The sequence below is a fragment of the Homo sapiens genome, chromosome 17 (genome assembly GCF_000001405.40).
Source record: "Homo sapiens chromosome 17, GRCh38.p14 Primary Assembly".
NCBI lineage: Eukaryota > Metazoa > Chordata > Mammalia > Primates > Hominidae > Homo > Homo sapiens.
The window spans coordinates 56,836,347-56,848,448 of record NC_000017.11 but is presented as its reverse complement, the minus strand read 5'-3'; the positions used below and the strand labels follow the sequence as shown (position 1 = coordinate 56,848,448).

At 35.9% G+C, this 12,102-nt stretch overlaps 1 protein-coding gene and 1 long non-coding RNA gene across 10 annotated transcripts in view, besides 1 other annotated feature; one reads left to right on the top strand and one right to left on the bottom strand.

Moving 5' to 3' along the window:
* DGKE (diacylglycerol kinase epsilon) overlaps positions 1-12,102 on the bottom strand; it is a 35,417-nt gene that overhangs the window by 21,119 nt on the left and 2,196 nt on the right. For 6 of the 9 annotated variants that reach the window (XR_002958079.2, XM_011525394.4, XM_017025244.3 and 3 more), the window contains exons 3-5: positions 4,271-4,430; positions 2,640-2,759; positions 384-527 (exon numbers count right to left, since the gene is read on the bottom strand). Coding sequence is in view for 8 of the 9 variants with exons in the window: in XM_011525394.4 (XP_011523696.1) it covers positions 384-527; positions 2,640-2,759; positions 4,271-4,430 (424 nt within the window). In the remaining variant the exon portion in view is untranslated. Of the gene's footprint in view, positions 1-11; positions 528-2,639; positions 2,760-4,270; positions 4,431-4,541; positions 4,628-12,102 lie in introns of those variants that run through there. The other 3 variants (XM_047436959.1, XM_017025243.3, XM_047436960.1) reach the window with 2 other exon arrangements.
* LOC124904036 (uncharacterized) lies at positions 4,675-12,089 on the top strand. The gene is made up of 3 exons (XR_007065857.1): positions 4,675-4,796; positions 5,332-5,431; positions 9,829-12,089. It is a non-coding gene; the product is annotated as an uncharacterized LOC124904036 (long non-coding RNA).
* Positions 10,399-10,954: an enhancer, noted in NCBI's record as "NANOG hESC enhancer chr17:54914856-54915411 (GRCh37/hg19 assembly coordinates)". NCBI's record gives its function as "activates a minimal SCP1, AML or CMV promoter by ChIP-STARR-seq in naive H9 embryonic stem cells {active_cell/tissue: H9 hESC(naive)}" and the evidence as "EXISTENCE:reporter gene assay evidence [ECO:0000049][PMID:30033119]".

Below are 12,102 nucleotides of genomic sequence, written 5' to 3'. Positions count from 1 at the left end.
TAGTGGCTCACCCATGTAATCCCAGCACTTTGGGAGGCCAAGGTGGGAGGATCGCTTGAGCCCAGGAGTTTGACAGCAGCCCAGGCAACATGGTGAAACCCTGTCTCTACAAAAAATACAAAAATTAGCCAGGCATGGTAGCGCACACCTATAGTCTCAGCAACTTTGTAGGCTGAGGTGGGAGGATGGCTTGAACCTGAGAAATGGAGGTTGCAGTTAGCTGTGTCTGCGCCGCTGCACTCCAGCCTGGGTGACAGTGCGAGACTGTATCTCAAGAAAAAACAACAACAACAACAAAACAACAACAAAACCCATATATATATATATATGTATAGTATATTTATCTTAGAAGTCCTTCTGTAGTAGTTCTTAAAGACTAATACCTTAATCTTCATGTCATCAACTGCATCCAGGACCCACCCTACAGTCCCATCCCCTCCACAAACAAGTACTCGAGCTGAATAATATGGGAGAAGAGTACAGAGTTGTAGGGCTTTGATAGGAGGAGTTTTAGTTACATCAAAAACCTAGAAACAAAAGAAAAAGACAAATTATTTTTATCCAACATTTTCCTTCATCTGTAATGATGATTTCCCTCTAGATGAGTAGAGATACAGTTAAATAACATTACTGGCTACTATGTATTTAACAATATGCCAGGCACCCTGCCAGACTCTTTATATTCATTGTAGCTCATCCCCACACTGACTTTACAAAGCAAGAGTTAGCCTCATTCTATTGGGCTGGAAACTGAGGTGCAGGAAGGTTAAATCACTTGCCTGTGATTGTCCAGGTAATTAAGTGCTGAAATACAAGGCTAGGTGTGGTAACTCATGCCTATAATCCCAGCACTTTGGGAGGCCAAGGCGGGTGGATCACTTGACGTCAGGAGTTCGAGACCAGCCTGGCCAACATGGTGAAATCCTGTCTTTACTAAAAATACAAAAATTAGCCAGTGTGGTGTTGTGTGCTTGTGATCCTAGCTACTCGGGAGGCTGAGGTAGGAGAATCACTTGAACCTGGGAGGCAGAGGTTACAGTGAGCCAAGATCATGCCCCTGCACTCCAGCTTCGGCAACAAAGCAAGACTCTGTCTCAAAAAAAAAAAAAAGTTATAGTTTATCTACTATACCACATTGCCTCCTTCTTGTTCACATAAACCACAATGTGCTAAGTTCACCTTTAATTAGTGTTTCATATCTTATACTGGCTTAAAAAAAAATCACCAGTGCAACTTAGCACAAATTTCTGGAAAGCAATTTTGCAATACATAGAAAATGACATAAAAATGCAAGTAACTTTGATTATCCATAATTCTGTCAACGACCCTAGAAAAATATTTCGAAAGACAAAAATGCCTAAAAATATGTATAAAAATATTCACTGTGGCATTATTTATAGTACAATCATAGAGACAGTGTTACCTTTCAACAGTAGAGACTGGATAAATAATGCTATTTCCATTCAATTATTTTAGTCATTAAATATGTAACTATGAGGACTATGTTGAAACAAGGAAAAATATTTATACCATTAAAATTAAAAAAATCAGAATGCAAATTTGTATCTAGATTATTGTTATAGTACTGTTAATATGTAAAGTAAATGCATAGATAATTAATGGAAAGAACAAGAAAAAAGAGAACTGATGTATTTGTATGGAGAAATTGCAAATGATTTTCTCTGTATTTTTTATAATTTTCTTAAACTGTATAATATTGAAAGTGTAAAAAATACAAATTGGAAGGACAAAGTTATTGCACTTCTAATTGCTACACAATGGGTTGTCTTTAAAATTTTTTTGTATTTTTTTGTTTTTTGGTTAATTTTTCAAAGTAAAATTATATTCAATTTTAACGATCCCTTTTATTTTTAAAACTGAGGTATAATTTACATATAAGATTCACCCATTTGAAGTGAACAAGTCAATAATTTTTATTAAGTTCACTGAATTGCACAACCACCACCATCATCCAGTTTAGAACATTTTTGTTGCTTCAATAAGATCCCTCAATGTCCATTCGCAATCACTCCCCATTTCCAGCCCTAGAACCAATAATCTATTCTCTACCTCTACAGACTTGCCTTTTCTAGACAAGTCACATAAGTGGAGTCATACAATATAAGGTCCCTTGTATCTGCCTTCTTTCACTTAGTATGTTTTTGAGGTTCATTTATTGTAATATATACGTATCAGTAGTTTGTTCCTTTTTGTCATTTCATGGTATTCCATTGTAGGGCTACATCACATTTTGTTTATCAACTCATCAGCTGATGAACAGCTGGGCTGTTTATGCTTTTCAGCTATCATGAATAATGCTGCTGTGAACATTTTCATGCAAATGTTTGTGAGAAATATGTTTTCACTTCCCTTGGGTAGATTCCTAGTAGAGGACTTGCTAGAAGATATAATAAATTTATATTTATCTTTTTAAGAAACTGCCAAGATGTCTTCTAAAGAGGTTGTACCATTTTATATTCCCACAAGAGTGCCTGTTTATCCACATATTTAAATGGCTGATCTTTTTGTAATTATTATTCTTTCCTATGATCAGGTGATTAGTGACTTGAAGCATTAATAATCATTGCATTTTGGGGAAAATGAAAACATTAATATAAAAAGTTTTTTTCTTTAGTTACCTGGACTGGATTCAACAAGATCCTAAATTCTCCCAACAGTCCTTCTCCCATATTAGTTCCACTACGAGAGTTGGCCAGGATTATTAATGGGGTCCACTGCTTTCCAAGCTTAGAGGCTAGCTAAAAAAAATTGCCATGAGTGAAAAGGTTTAGTATCTTAAAGATGAAAAGCACATTTTCCATGCCTTGAGAACAATGGTGCTATAATTTGCTGAAATAAAAACTATACTAGTTCTCTCAATTCAATATAAAAATCAAAGAATTCTAAGAATGGAAGGGAACCTCAGAAATTAACTAATTTAAGCTCCCATTCAATGTTTAATTCTCTTCTACATTATTCTAGATAAGTCATCCAGCATATGCTCGCACACTCACATAAGGAACTCACTAGTAATGCAGCCCATTACACTGCTACATCAAATTATTAGAAAGTTTGGACTTAAACTGAGTTGAAAATCTGTCTTTCTATAACTTTCAACCATTCACAGAATAGACACTGATTTTTTTCTCTGACCTTTCACCTTGATTTTCCTTTACTGGATGTATTCTGGTGTGTTTTGCAAGGTTTTATTTCTTTTTTTAAAATGGGGTACTCAGATTAAAAAATCTGGACTTCTAATAGCTCAAAGTCAAATGAAATTAATACTTTTCAAAATGTAACCATTTCTTCTTCCCCTCTCCTTGTAGATGTAACCATTAATGAAGTTATTCTATAGTTTTACTTAGAGATTCTTCTCTCTTGTGATCTCAGGTTGAACTCAGATAAATAAGAGATTGTACATTTAAAAAAACTGTCAAAACAATATTGTTTGAAAAATTTAAAATGTCCCTTCCCTTGCAGGAATATTGACAAAGGTGGCATGTAAGTCATAAAATCTTAATTTGAAAAAGGTACAATTTTAAAATAAAATAGTTCAATTATTTTGGTATATCCAATTAGAAAATAAATCCATAAATTTTTATGATGTTTCCTTAAGAGCTACATAAAGACTGAGAGATTCAATAAGTTACATCAATTTCATACACATATCTACATCTATAAACTGTTAACAGGTTTAGTGTTCACCATTATTTGTGGGAGCATTTAATGTGCAACATAAACTTATCTCTAGGGACCCTGTATAAAGTTCAAAATAGAAAAATAGTTTTAGAAAAAGGTGTGAGGAAAATCTATTTTCTTTTCACTGACAATAATCATGAATCCCAAAACTGACTGTTCATCAGAATCTTCTGAGGACCTTAAAAAAAAAGATGAATTCCTGGACTTACCCTATACCTACTAAATCAAATATGGCAATGAAGGTACTACTCAGAAATCTGTATTTTTAAAAAGCTCCCTAAATCATTCAGATGCAGGCAATGATTTGGAAACCACTAATATAACATTTCCAATTTCCTTTTAGACATGAAAGAACTCAAGAGCCAAAATTTTTGACCCATCTCTAGGAACTAGGTAGGATTTTATGGCTTACCATAATAGCATTTTATTTCTCTCCTTGGTCTTGATCTGTTATTTAAGTTTATTTTATTCCTGGCACCAATTCTTCTTACATACTGTCTTAACTATCTCAAACAATGAGTTAAGCAGCTTTTTAAAAATCAATCATATTAGAGAAATAAACTCTAATTACCACTTCATAATCTGTTTTTTTGTCTTTACGCATCTGATTAATGGATGTTAAATAACTTGGTGGAATGATTAGGTTTTTGAATTCTCCAAAATCACATTTTTCATTCTTTAAACTATTTTTCATGCACTCATCATGTACTGTTTTCTGGCACCAAATGCACCTGAGGGAAGGAAGAAACAAGCATTAACTAATTTTAAACCATAATCTCAATGATAACCCACAAAACAATCATTTTTGTTAAAAAATAAAACATAATTTTATCACTACTTACCATAACATTTGGCAAATAAAATATATGCACTATCTGCACAGTGAAATGGAGCAATAAGGTTTGAACATATTTGGCAGTTTAATCTAACAGCACTTTTTTTTTTTTTTTTTGAGACAGGGTCTCACTCTGTCCACCAGACTGGAGTGCAGTGGCATGATCTCAGCTCACCGCAACCTCTGCCTCCCAGGATCAAGTGATTCTTCTGCCTAGTCTCCCAAGTAGCTGGGATTACAAGTTCGTGCTACTACCGCCTGGGTAATTTTTATATTCTTAGTAGAGATGGGGTTTCACTACGTTGACCAGGCTGGTCTTGACCTCCAGACCTCAAATGATCCACCCACCTCGGCCTCCCATAAGTGCTGGGATTGCTGGAGTGAGCCACTGTGCCCCGCCTAACAGCATTTCTTAAAATGTGGGCCCCAAGATCCATTCAGGGCATCTGTGAGGTTAAAATTTTAATAATAACACTAAAGAGTTATTTCACCCTCAACCTCTCAAAAGCGTACAGTGGAATTTTCCAGAAGCTTTATGACATGTGCTATGACAATAGAAGCAAATATGATACTCTAGCTGAATAATAAGTGAAAGAAATGTGCAAAAATTTAAAACAATGTAACTCTCCTCACTAAATTTTCATAAAAACCATTTGTAACTATTATTTTAAAAATATTTAAAAAATTTATCAGTTTTAATTTATGACATGGTAAATATCAATAGATATGATCCACATAAACAAAAGCTGATCTAAAATGATAGTTTTATATATATTTGTGCTTTGGCTGAAATGTAGGTTCATGAGGCCTAAAGTCCTTGCTGTTTAAATGCCCCACTGACATGGACCCTTGAAGAGTTCCTGAGGGTCCAGCTTGAAAATCTCTTAACCTGTAAATGTAAGTACAACCGTGCATTTCTTTTTGTCAGTTAATACGAAAATAATTCATATGCTTGCTTTTGAAATAGACGTAAGAACATGTGCATTCAGATTTGCAACTATGTTTGGACCCAATTGGTAAAACAAGCAGAGAACAGAGCTGGTAAAGGTCCTGGGTTTCTATTATTAATTTGCTAAGTATTTAATCCACTCACAGATAAGGCAGATCTGACTGAAGAGATAAAGCAGGCCACCAGAAAAGAATGGTTATAATTAAATGAATATAAAAAAGAAAAGAGGATAAACATTCTTTCACCCAGAGGTCCTCTGGTGACCTTCTATTTTAAGCTGTTTTTTCCTTTTGGATATTCAGATTTGTCAAGTACTTAGTGCTGTATACTCGAGTCCTATTTACTGCTAAAAGCAAGAGTTCTCTGCATAATCTGTTACAGAGAAAACTGAAATAATTTGCATAATCACATTTGTTAATTTTAAACTCAACTTGAGAAACTATAATAGACTGGTTATGTGGCTGAAGTATAATATCTTTATTTATTGGTCTACCATAACTTTAAAATAGTATATCACCATCAAAAGCAATCAGAAAGGATACCCACTGAATTATTTCATAATGGTTTCCTCTGGGAAGAAAAGTAGGACTGAGGAATGGGAAGAATATTAAGTTTTTAGGCTATGTTTTTTTTGTATGTATTCCTTGAGATCCTAAAAACCAGAATATAAACATGAACTACTTGTATAAATTTTAAAAATTATTTTAAATACTAGCTTATAAAAATTTAAAAATACAAAAAGGCATAAAATAAAAATCATCCAGAGAGTCACTCTTAACTTTTTGACTTATTTATTCTCAGTTTTATAGTGTATACGTTTGTTTTTCAGCTTAGAAGTATGATGTATATATATCTGGATAATGCTTTTCTACATTGTATCATAAACTTTTTTGTATATCAATTTTTTTAAAACATGGTTTGTAAAGAATGTATATTATTACATCATGTCAATATCGTATAATTTATCTGACCCTGTCCCAAAAAACAAGAAAAATGAACAAAAATTAGCTTGGCGTGGTAACGTGTGCCTGTAGTCCCAGCTCTAGTGAGGCTGAGGTGGGAGGATCACTTGAACCCGGGAAAGGGTGCTGCTGCACTCCAGCCTGGGCATCAGAGTGAGATTTCATCTCAAAAAACAAAACAAAACAAAACAAAAAAAACCTGACCCCTTTTCTGTTTTTTAAAAAAGACATTTAGTTTATTTTTGAAAATATAAATAACATGGGTAAATGAATGAGATTATTTCTTTGCAATCTCAGAAGTTACTGAATCAAAGGGCATGCATTTTCCCAAGGTTCTGGATGTTTGTCCAATATGCTTGTTACGAGTGCATGAAAGTGCCCATCATAACTAACACTTATTAATACCGCTCATTAGTACTTAATTTTTCTTTGATAATTTGATAGAAAAAGGTATCCTATTGTTTTAATCTGGAAGTCTGATTAGTAGGTAAAACTGAGTTTTTCAGCCCCCTTTTGTGAATTCAGTCATGTTCCATATTCATCTTTCACTAGGTTTTAATAATTGCATGTAATTTTATTTAACTAGAATATCAACCTTTTTTCTGGCATATTTATTGCAAACATGCTTCAGTGTTCTTTAAAATTGTCTTTTTAATCTACTTAAGTTTTTAAAAATATATATACAGATATGTATTTCCGTTTGTAGTTGGCTTAAATGCTGTTTCATTTAAAAAAAATTTTTTTTTTTTTTTGAGACAGAGTATCACTCTGTCGCCTAGGCTTGGAGTGCAGTGGTGCAATCTCGGCTCACTGCAACCTCCACATACTGGGTTCAAGTGATTCTCCTGCCTCAGCCTCCTGAGCAGCTGGGACTACAGGTGCATGCTACCACGCCCAGCTAATTTTTGTATTTTTAGTAGAGACGGGGTTTCACCATATCGGTCAGGCTGGTCTCAAAAACTCCCGACCTCATCAGTCTGCCTCGGCCTCCCAAAGTGCTGGGATTACAGGTGTGAGCCACCGAGTCTGGCCAAAAATTTTTTTTTAAGAGACAGTGTCTCACTATGTTGCTCACACTGGCCTGAACTCCTGGGCTCAAGTGATCCTGCCTCAGTCTCCTGAGTAGCTAGGCTACAGGCACCTAATTAAATGCTGTTATGCTTTGAAGTCTTTTACCATCTCCTAGATATTCACCTATAGTTATTCCCCCCCCTCCCAGTTCAGTTGTCATAGTTACATCTTTAATTCAGTGCTTCTTAACCTTCTGGGGCTATAGATTCCATTCAGAATCTCATGGAAGTGTCGGGCTTTTCCATCCTCTGTATTGGCTGGACGCAGTGGGGCATGCGTATAATCCCAGGATTTGGGAGGCCAGGCGGGCGGATCACCTGAGGTCAGAAGTTTGAGACCAGCCTGAGTAACATGGTGAAACCCTGTCTCTCCTGAAAATATAAAAAATAATTGGCCAGGTGTGGTGGTGCATGCCTGTAATCCCAGCTACTCGGGAGGCTGAGGCGGGTGAATCACTTGAGCCTGGGAGGTAGAGGTAGCAGTGAGCCGAGATCATGTCACTGCACTGCAACCTGAGCGACAGAGTGAGACTGTCTCAAAAAACAACAACAACAACAACAACAACAAAACAAACTACTGCATTAATCTACCCATAATAAATCTGGCGTATTATGAAGAGTTAACCTTCTCCCCTCCCCCAAGAGCACTTGTCCTAACACGATTCATAAAACCATCTTTTCTACCCCCAATAATTTGTGACAGAACACTTATCATTTATTAAATTCTCATAAATTTCAGAAAAGATTATTATTATTACTATTATTTTTTGAGATGGAGTTTCGCTCTTGTTGCCCAGACTGGAGTGCAATGGCGCGATCTCGGCTCACAGCAACCTCCGCCTCCTGGGTTCAAGCAATTCTCCTGCCTCAGCCTCCCGAGTAGCTGGGATTACAGGCATGCGCCACCACACTCGGCTAATTTTGTACTTTTAGTAGAGATGGGGTTTCTCCATATTGGTCAGGCTGGTCTCGAACTCTGCCCGCCTTGGCCTCCCAAAGTGCTGGGATTACAGGCATGAGCCACTGCGCTCAGCCCAGAAAAGATTATTTTAACCAAGATAATAGCTATTATGAGCCTTTGCTCTATAAAGGTACAGCTAAAATGCTTACTAGGGCCAGGCATGGTGGCTTACGCCTGCAATCCCAGCACTTTGGGAGGCCAAGATGCGAGGATTGCTTGAGCCCAGGAATTTGAGACCAGCCTGGGCAATATGGTGATACTCCTATCTCTACAAAAAAGAAAAAAAAAATATCAGGCATGGTGGTGCATGTCTGTAGTCCCAGCTACTTGGAAGGCTGAGGTGGGAGGATTGCTTGAACCTGGGAGGCTAAGGCTGCAGTAAGCCATAATCTTGCCACCGTCTTCCAGCCTAGGCAATATAGAGTAAGACCCTGTCTCAAAAAACAAAATAAAATAAAATGCTTACTAATTACTCAGTATTACATTCTTCTTTAGAAATACCATATTCAAACCTGAATCCTATTGTCTTTACCTATGTTGTAATTGGTATTTAACAACCTAGATTTCAAACTCACTGGGAAGATAAGACATTACTAAAATGTCTTGGTATTTCAGCTTTAGCATCATGTCATTGGGTAACAGCTTATCATCTTTTTTCTTTTTATTTTGAAAAATTCCAAACTTTCAGAGAAGTCAAAAGGATAGCAAAATGAATACCCTAAGCCCACCCTTCACGCTGATTCTTAATGACATTTTCTCCCACAATATTCTCTTTCCATATAAATTCATATTTTTTTGATCATTTGAAAGTAAACTGCAGACAGTATGAGATCTCACCCTTCAATATTTTAGCAAATATATTCTAAAAGCAAGAATAGTTTACTTGCTTTTTAAAATATTTTACTTAAAAATATTTTTTACAGGTATGCCTACCACCTACATTCTACCATTAACATCTTACTGTAATTGCTTTGTCACATTTCTATCCATTAATTCATCTTATTTTTAGTACATTTCCAAGTAAACTGAAGACATCAGAATACTTCCTGAATACATCAGCAAATAGGCTTATCACTACCTAGAATTCATGATGTTTTTTCCTTTTCATGTAAAATTTACATACAATGAAATGTACGTATATACTTCCTGAGTTTTGATAAATGAACATACGTAACTAAAACCCTTATCAAGATATAGAACATTACTCTAGAAAGTTCCTTCATATGAAAATATGGAATGCCTCATGAATTTATATGCCGTTCTTGTGCAGTAGTATTTATAGAAAAAAAAAAGGTTTAACAAGGCTTGTTTTCTCTAAAAAATTACCTGGTCACAATAGCTCTCTTTTTTAGTGTGCTGAAGGAGGCAGCTGAATTATACATAAAGTTGAGATGGTCATTTATAAGATTCACTAGAACAGGGTTCTGCAAACTGCAAATATGTCTGCCATCTGATTTTGTGAATGAAGTTTTACTGGAACACAGGTAAGCTCATTCATTTATGTATTGTCCATGGCTGGTTTTGCACTGCAACTATGGCAGAGTTAAGTAATTATGACAGACGAAATGGTTGGGAAAGCCGAAAATTCTTTTGGCTCTTTACAGTAAGTTTGCCCACCTCTGCTCTAGAAGATGATTTGGTATCTTTCACTGTTTCAGATAATTAATGAAATGAATAAACACACACCAATAGAATATAGAAACAAAATTTATGATCAAAGCTGAGACTAGTTACACTGAGGCCAATCTAACTGCCTTCTGAGAGTCAGCAGCTTTGTTTTACTAATCACAGTAATTGTGTGTGAGGCGTGGGGTAGATGTAATGAATAAAAAGTCCAATAAATTAAAAAGCACTTTAAGTTCTTTTTCTCTTAATGAGATAGAACACTACAAGAAACAAAGGTTCATTTAATAAATATATTGAATATGTAAAAATATAACCTAATTCCCTATTTTAGTCAGAGGAGAGATAAGAAGAAGAAAAAGAAGATGTAGTGGTTGGGGGTAGAAACAGGAGCACACAAAAAGAAAAAATCTACAGACAAAGTAGACTCTAGCAGTGTCTAGAACAAAAATAGATGCTCAATAAGTATAATGATCGAATGAGTATAAATTAAAGGGCCTTTCTCACTTATTCTGCAGGCTTTAAACTCAGTCATCATCTCTCATTAGTGTCCTTTGAAATGTAACTTGTCTGCAGAGTTCACTCACTTCCCTAAGAATGAGATGCAGACAGGGAAGGAGCTCTCCTCAGGGCTAGATAAAATCCAGAGGACTGTCTGGTCTGTGTTTAAAGGTTCTAAGTAGCTATTTATTTTGTTTCTCCTTCCAAAATATCTCATTCCTACAGAAGGTCACAGGAGACTGTAATCCTGTATACAATTATTGGCCAACATAAATCAGTTCAGAACACTGTAGAATATGTACAACTTCAGGACACTGTGGTCTCTTCTCTTGGGAATAATAAACATCTCCTAAATTACACAGAGACAATTTCTATCATGGGGTAAGGGGTTACTCTGTAAAAATGCACTAATGAAGAAAAGAAGATTTATTATCACACAGATTCAGTGTGCTCAATGGGAGGATACAAAATTAAGAGACGGAGGTGCATGTTTTTAAAGATATGTAAATATAGCAGTGGTTCTCCATCTTTAGAAGGACCTGTAGGGCCTGTTAAAACCAAGACTGCTGATGTCCAGCCCAAGTTTCTGATTTAGTAGGTCTGGGGTTGGGCTAGGGTTGCCAGAAAAAAAAAACAAAAAAACGGCAATGCCTAGTTGAATTTGAATTTCAGAGAAACTTTTTATGTTCCAAATTCTGCAATATTTTATTTTTATCTGCTAAATCTAGCAACCCTAGAATTTGCATTTCTAACAGATTTTGAAGAGATGCTGATGCTGCTGGTCTAGGGACCTTACTTTGAGAACCACTGAGATATAGGATATTACGTTATCACCAAAAAGGAAAAACTGGGGGAGGAGGGAAGCTGAGTAGATCAGGTAAGAGTTCCTGAAGGAAAGGACAAGGACATGGGATGGGTCTTTAAGGGTGCCTAGAAGCTAGCCAGAAGAATACTGAGAGGAAAGCTTTGAGCAAAGGGGCAGAAATGTCAGAAAATGCCTGACGTTTTAAGGAAATTACAAGAAGCTTAGTGTTGCTGGTGCATAAAGTTTAATGCAGGTGGTGGTAGATAAAACTAAAAGGACAGAGGCCAGAAAGTACTAGGACCTTATGTACCCTGTGAAAAAGCACTTAGGGGTTTACACTGTAAAACAGTCAGCTTACCCGATGGGGAGCAATTTAAAGGATTTTAAGCAGAGCAGGGACTTGATCAGATTTGCATTTTTAGAAAGATCATTTGGGTGGAGGATCAGAAGCATGATTATGTGTTCAAGAGTATTTGAAATACGGTTATTTATGGAAACCATTTTTAATATAATTCTGCACAGACACAGACTGCTGGAGGCTACACCAGAGAAGGGAAGGAAATAGAACAATACTCAATTCATTATGAAATTTATTTAAAGTCCCTGCTAACTTGGCTCTCACTGATGCCAGAAGGACAGCATTTAATTTTTAAAGATACCAAATAAAAATGCATGGTTACAAAACTTTGTAGTTGTC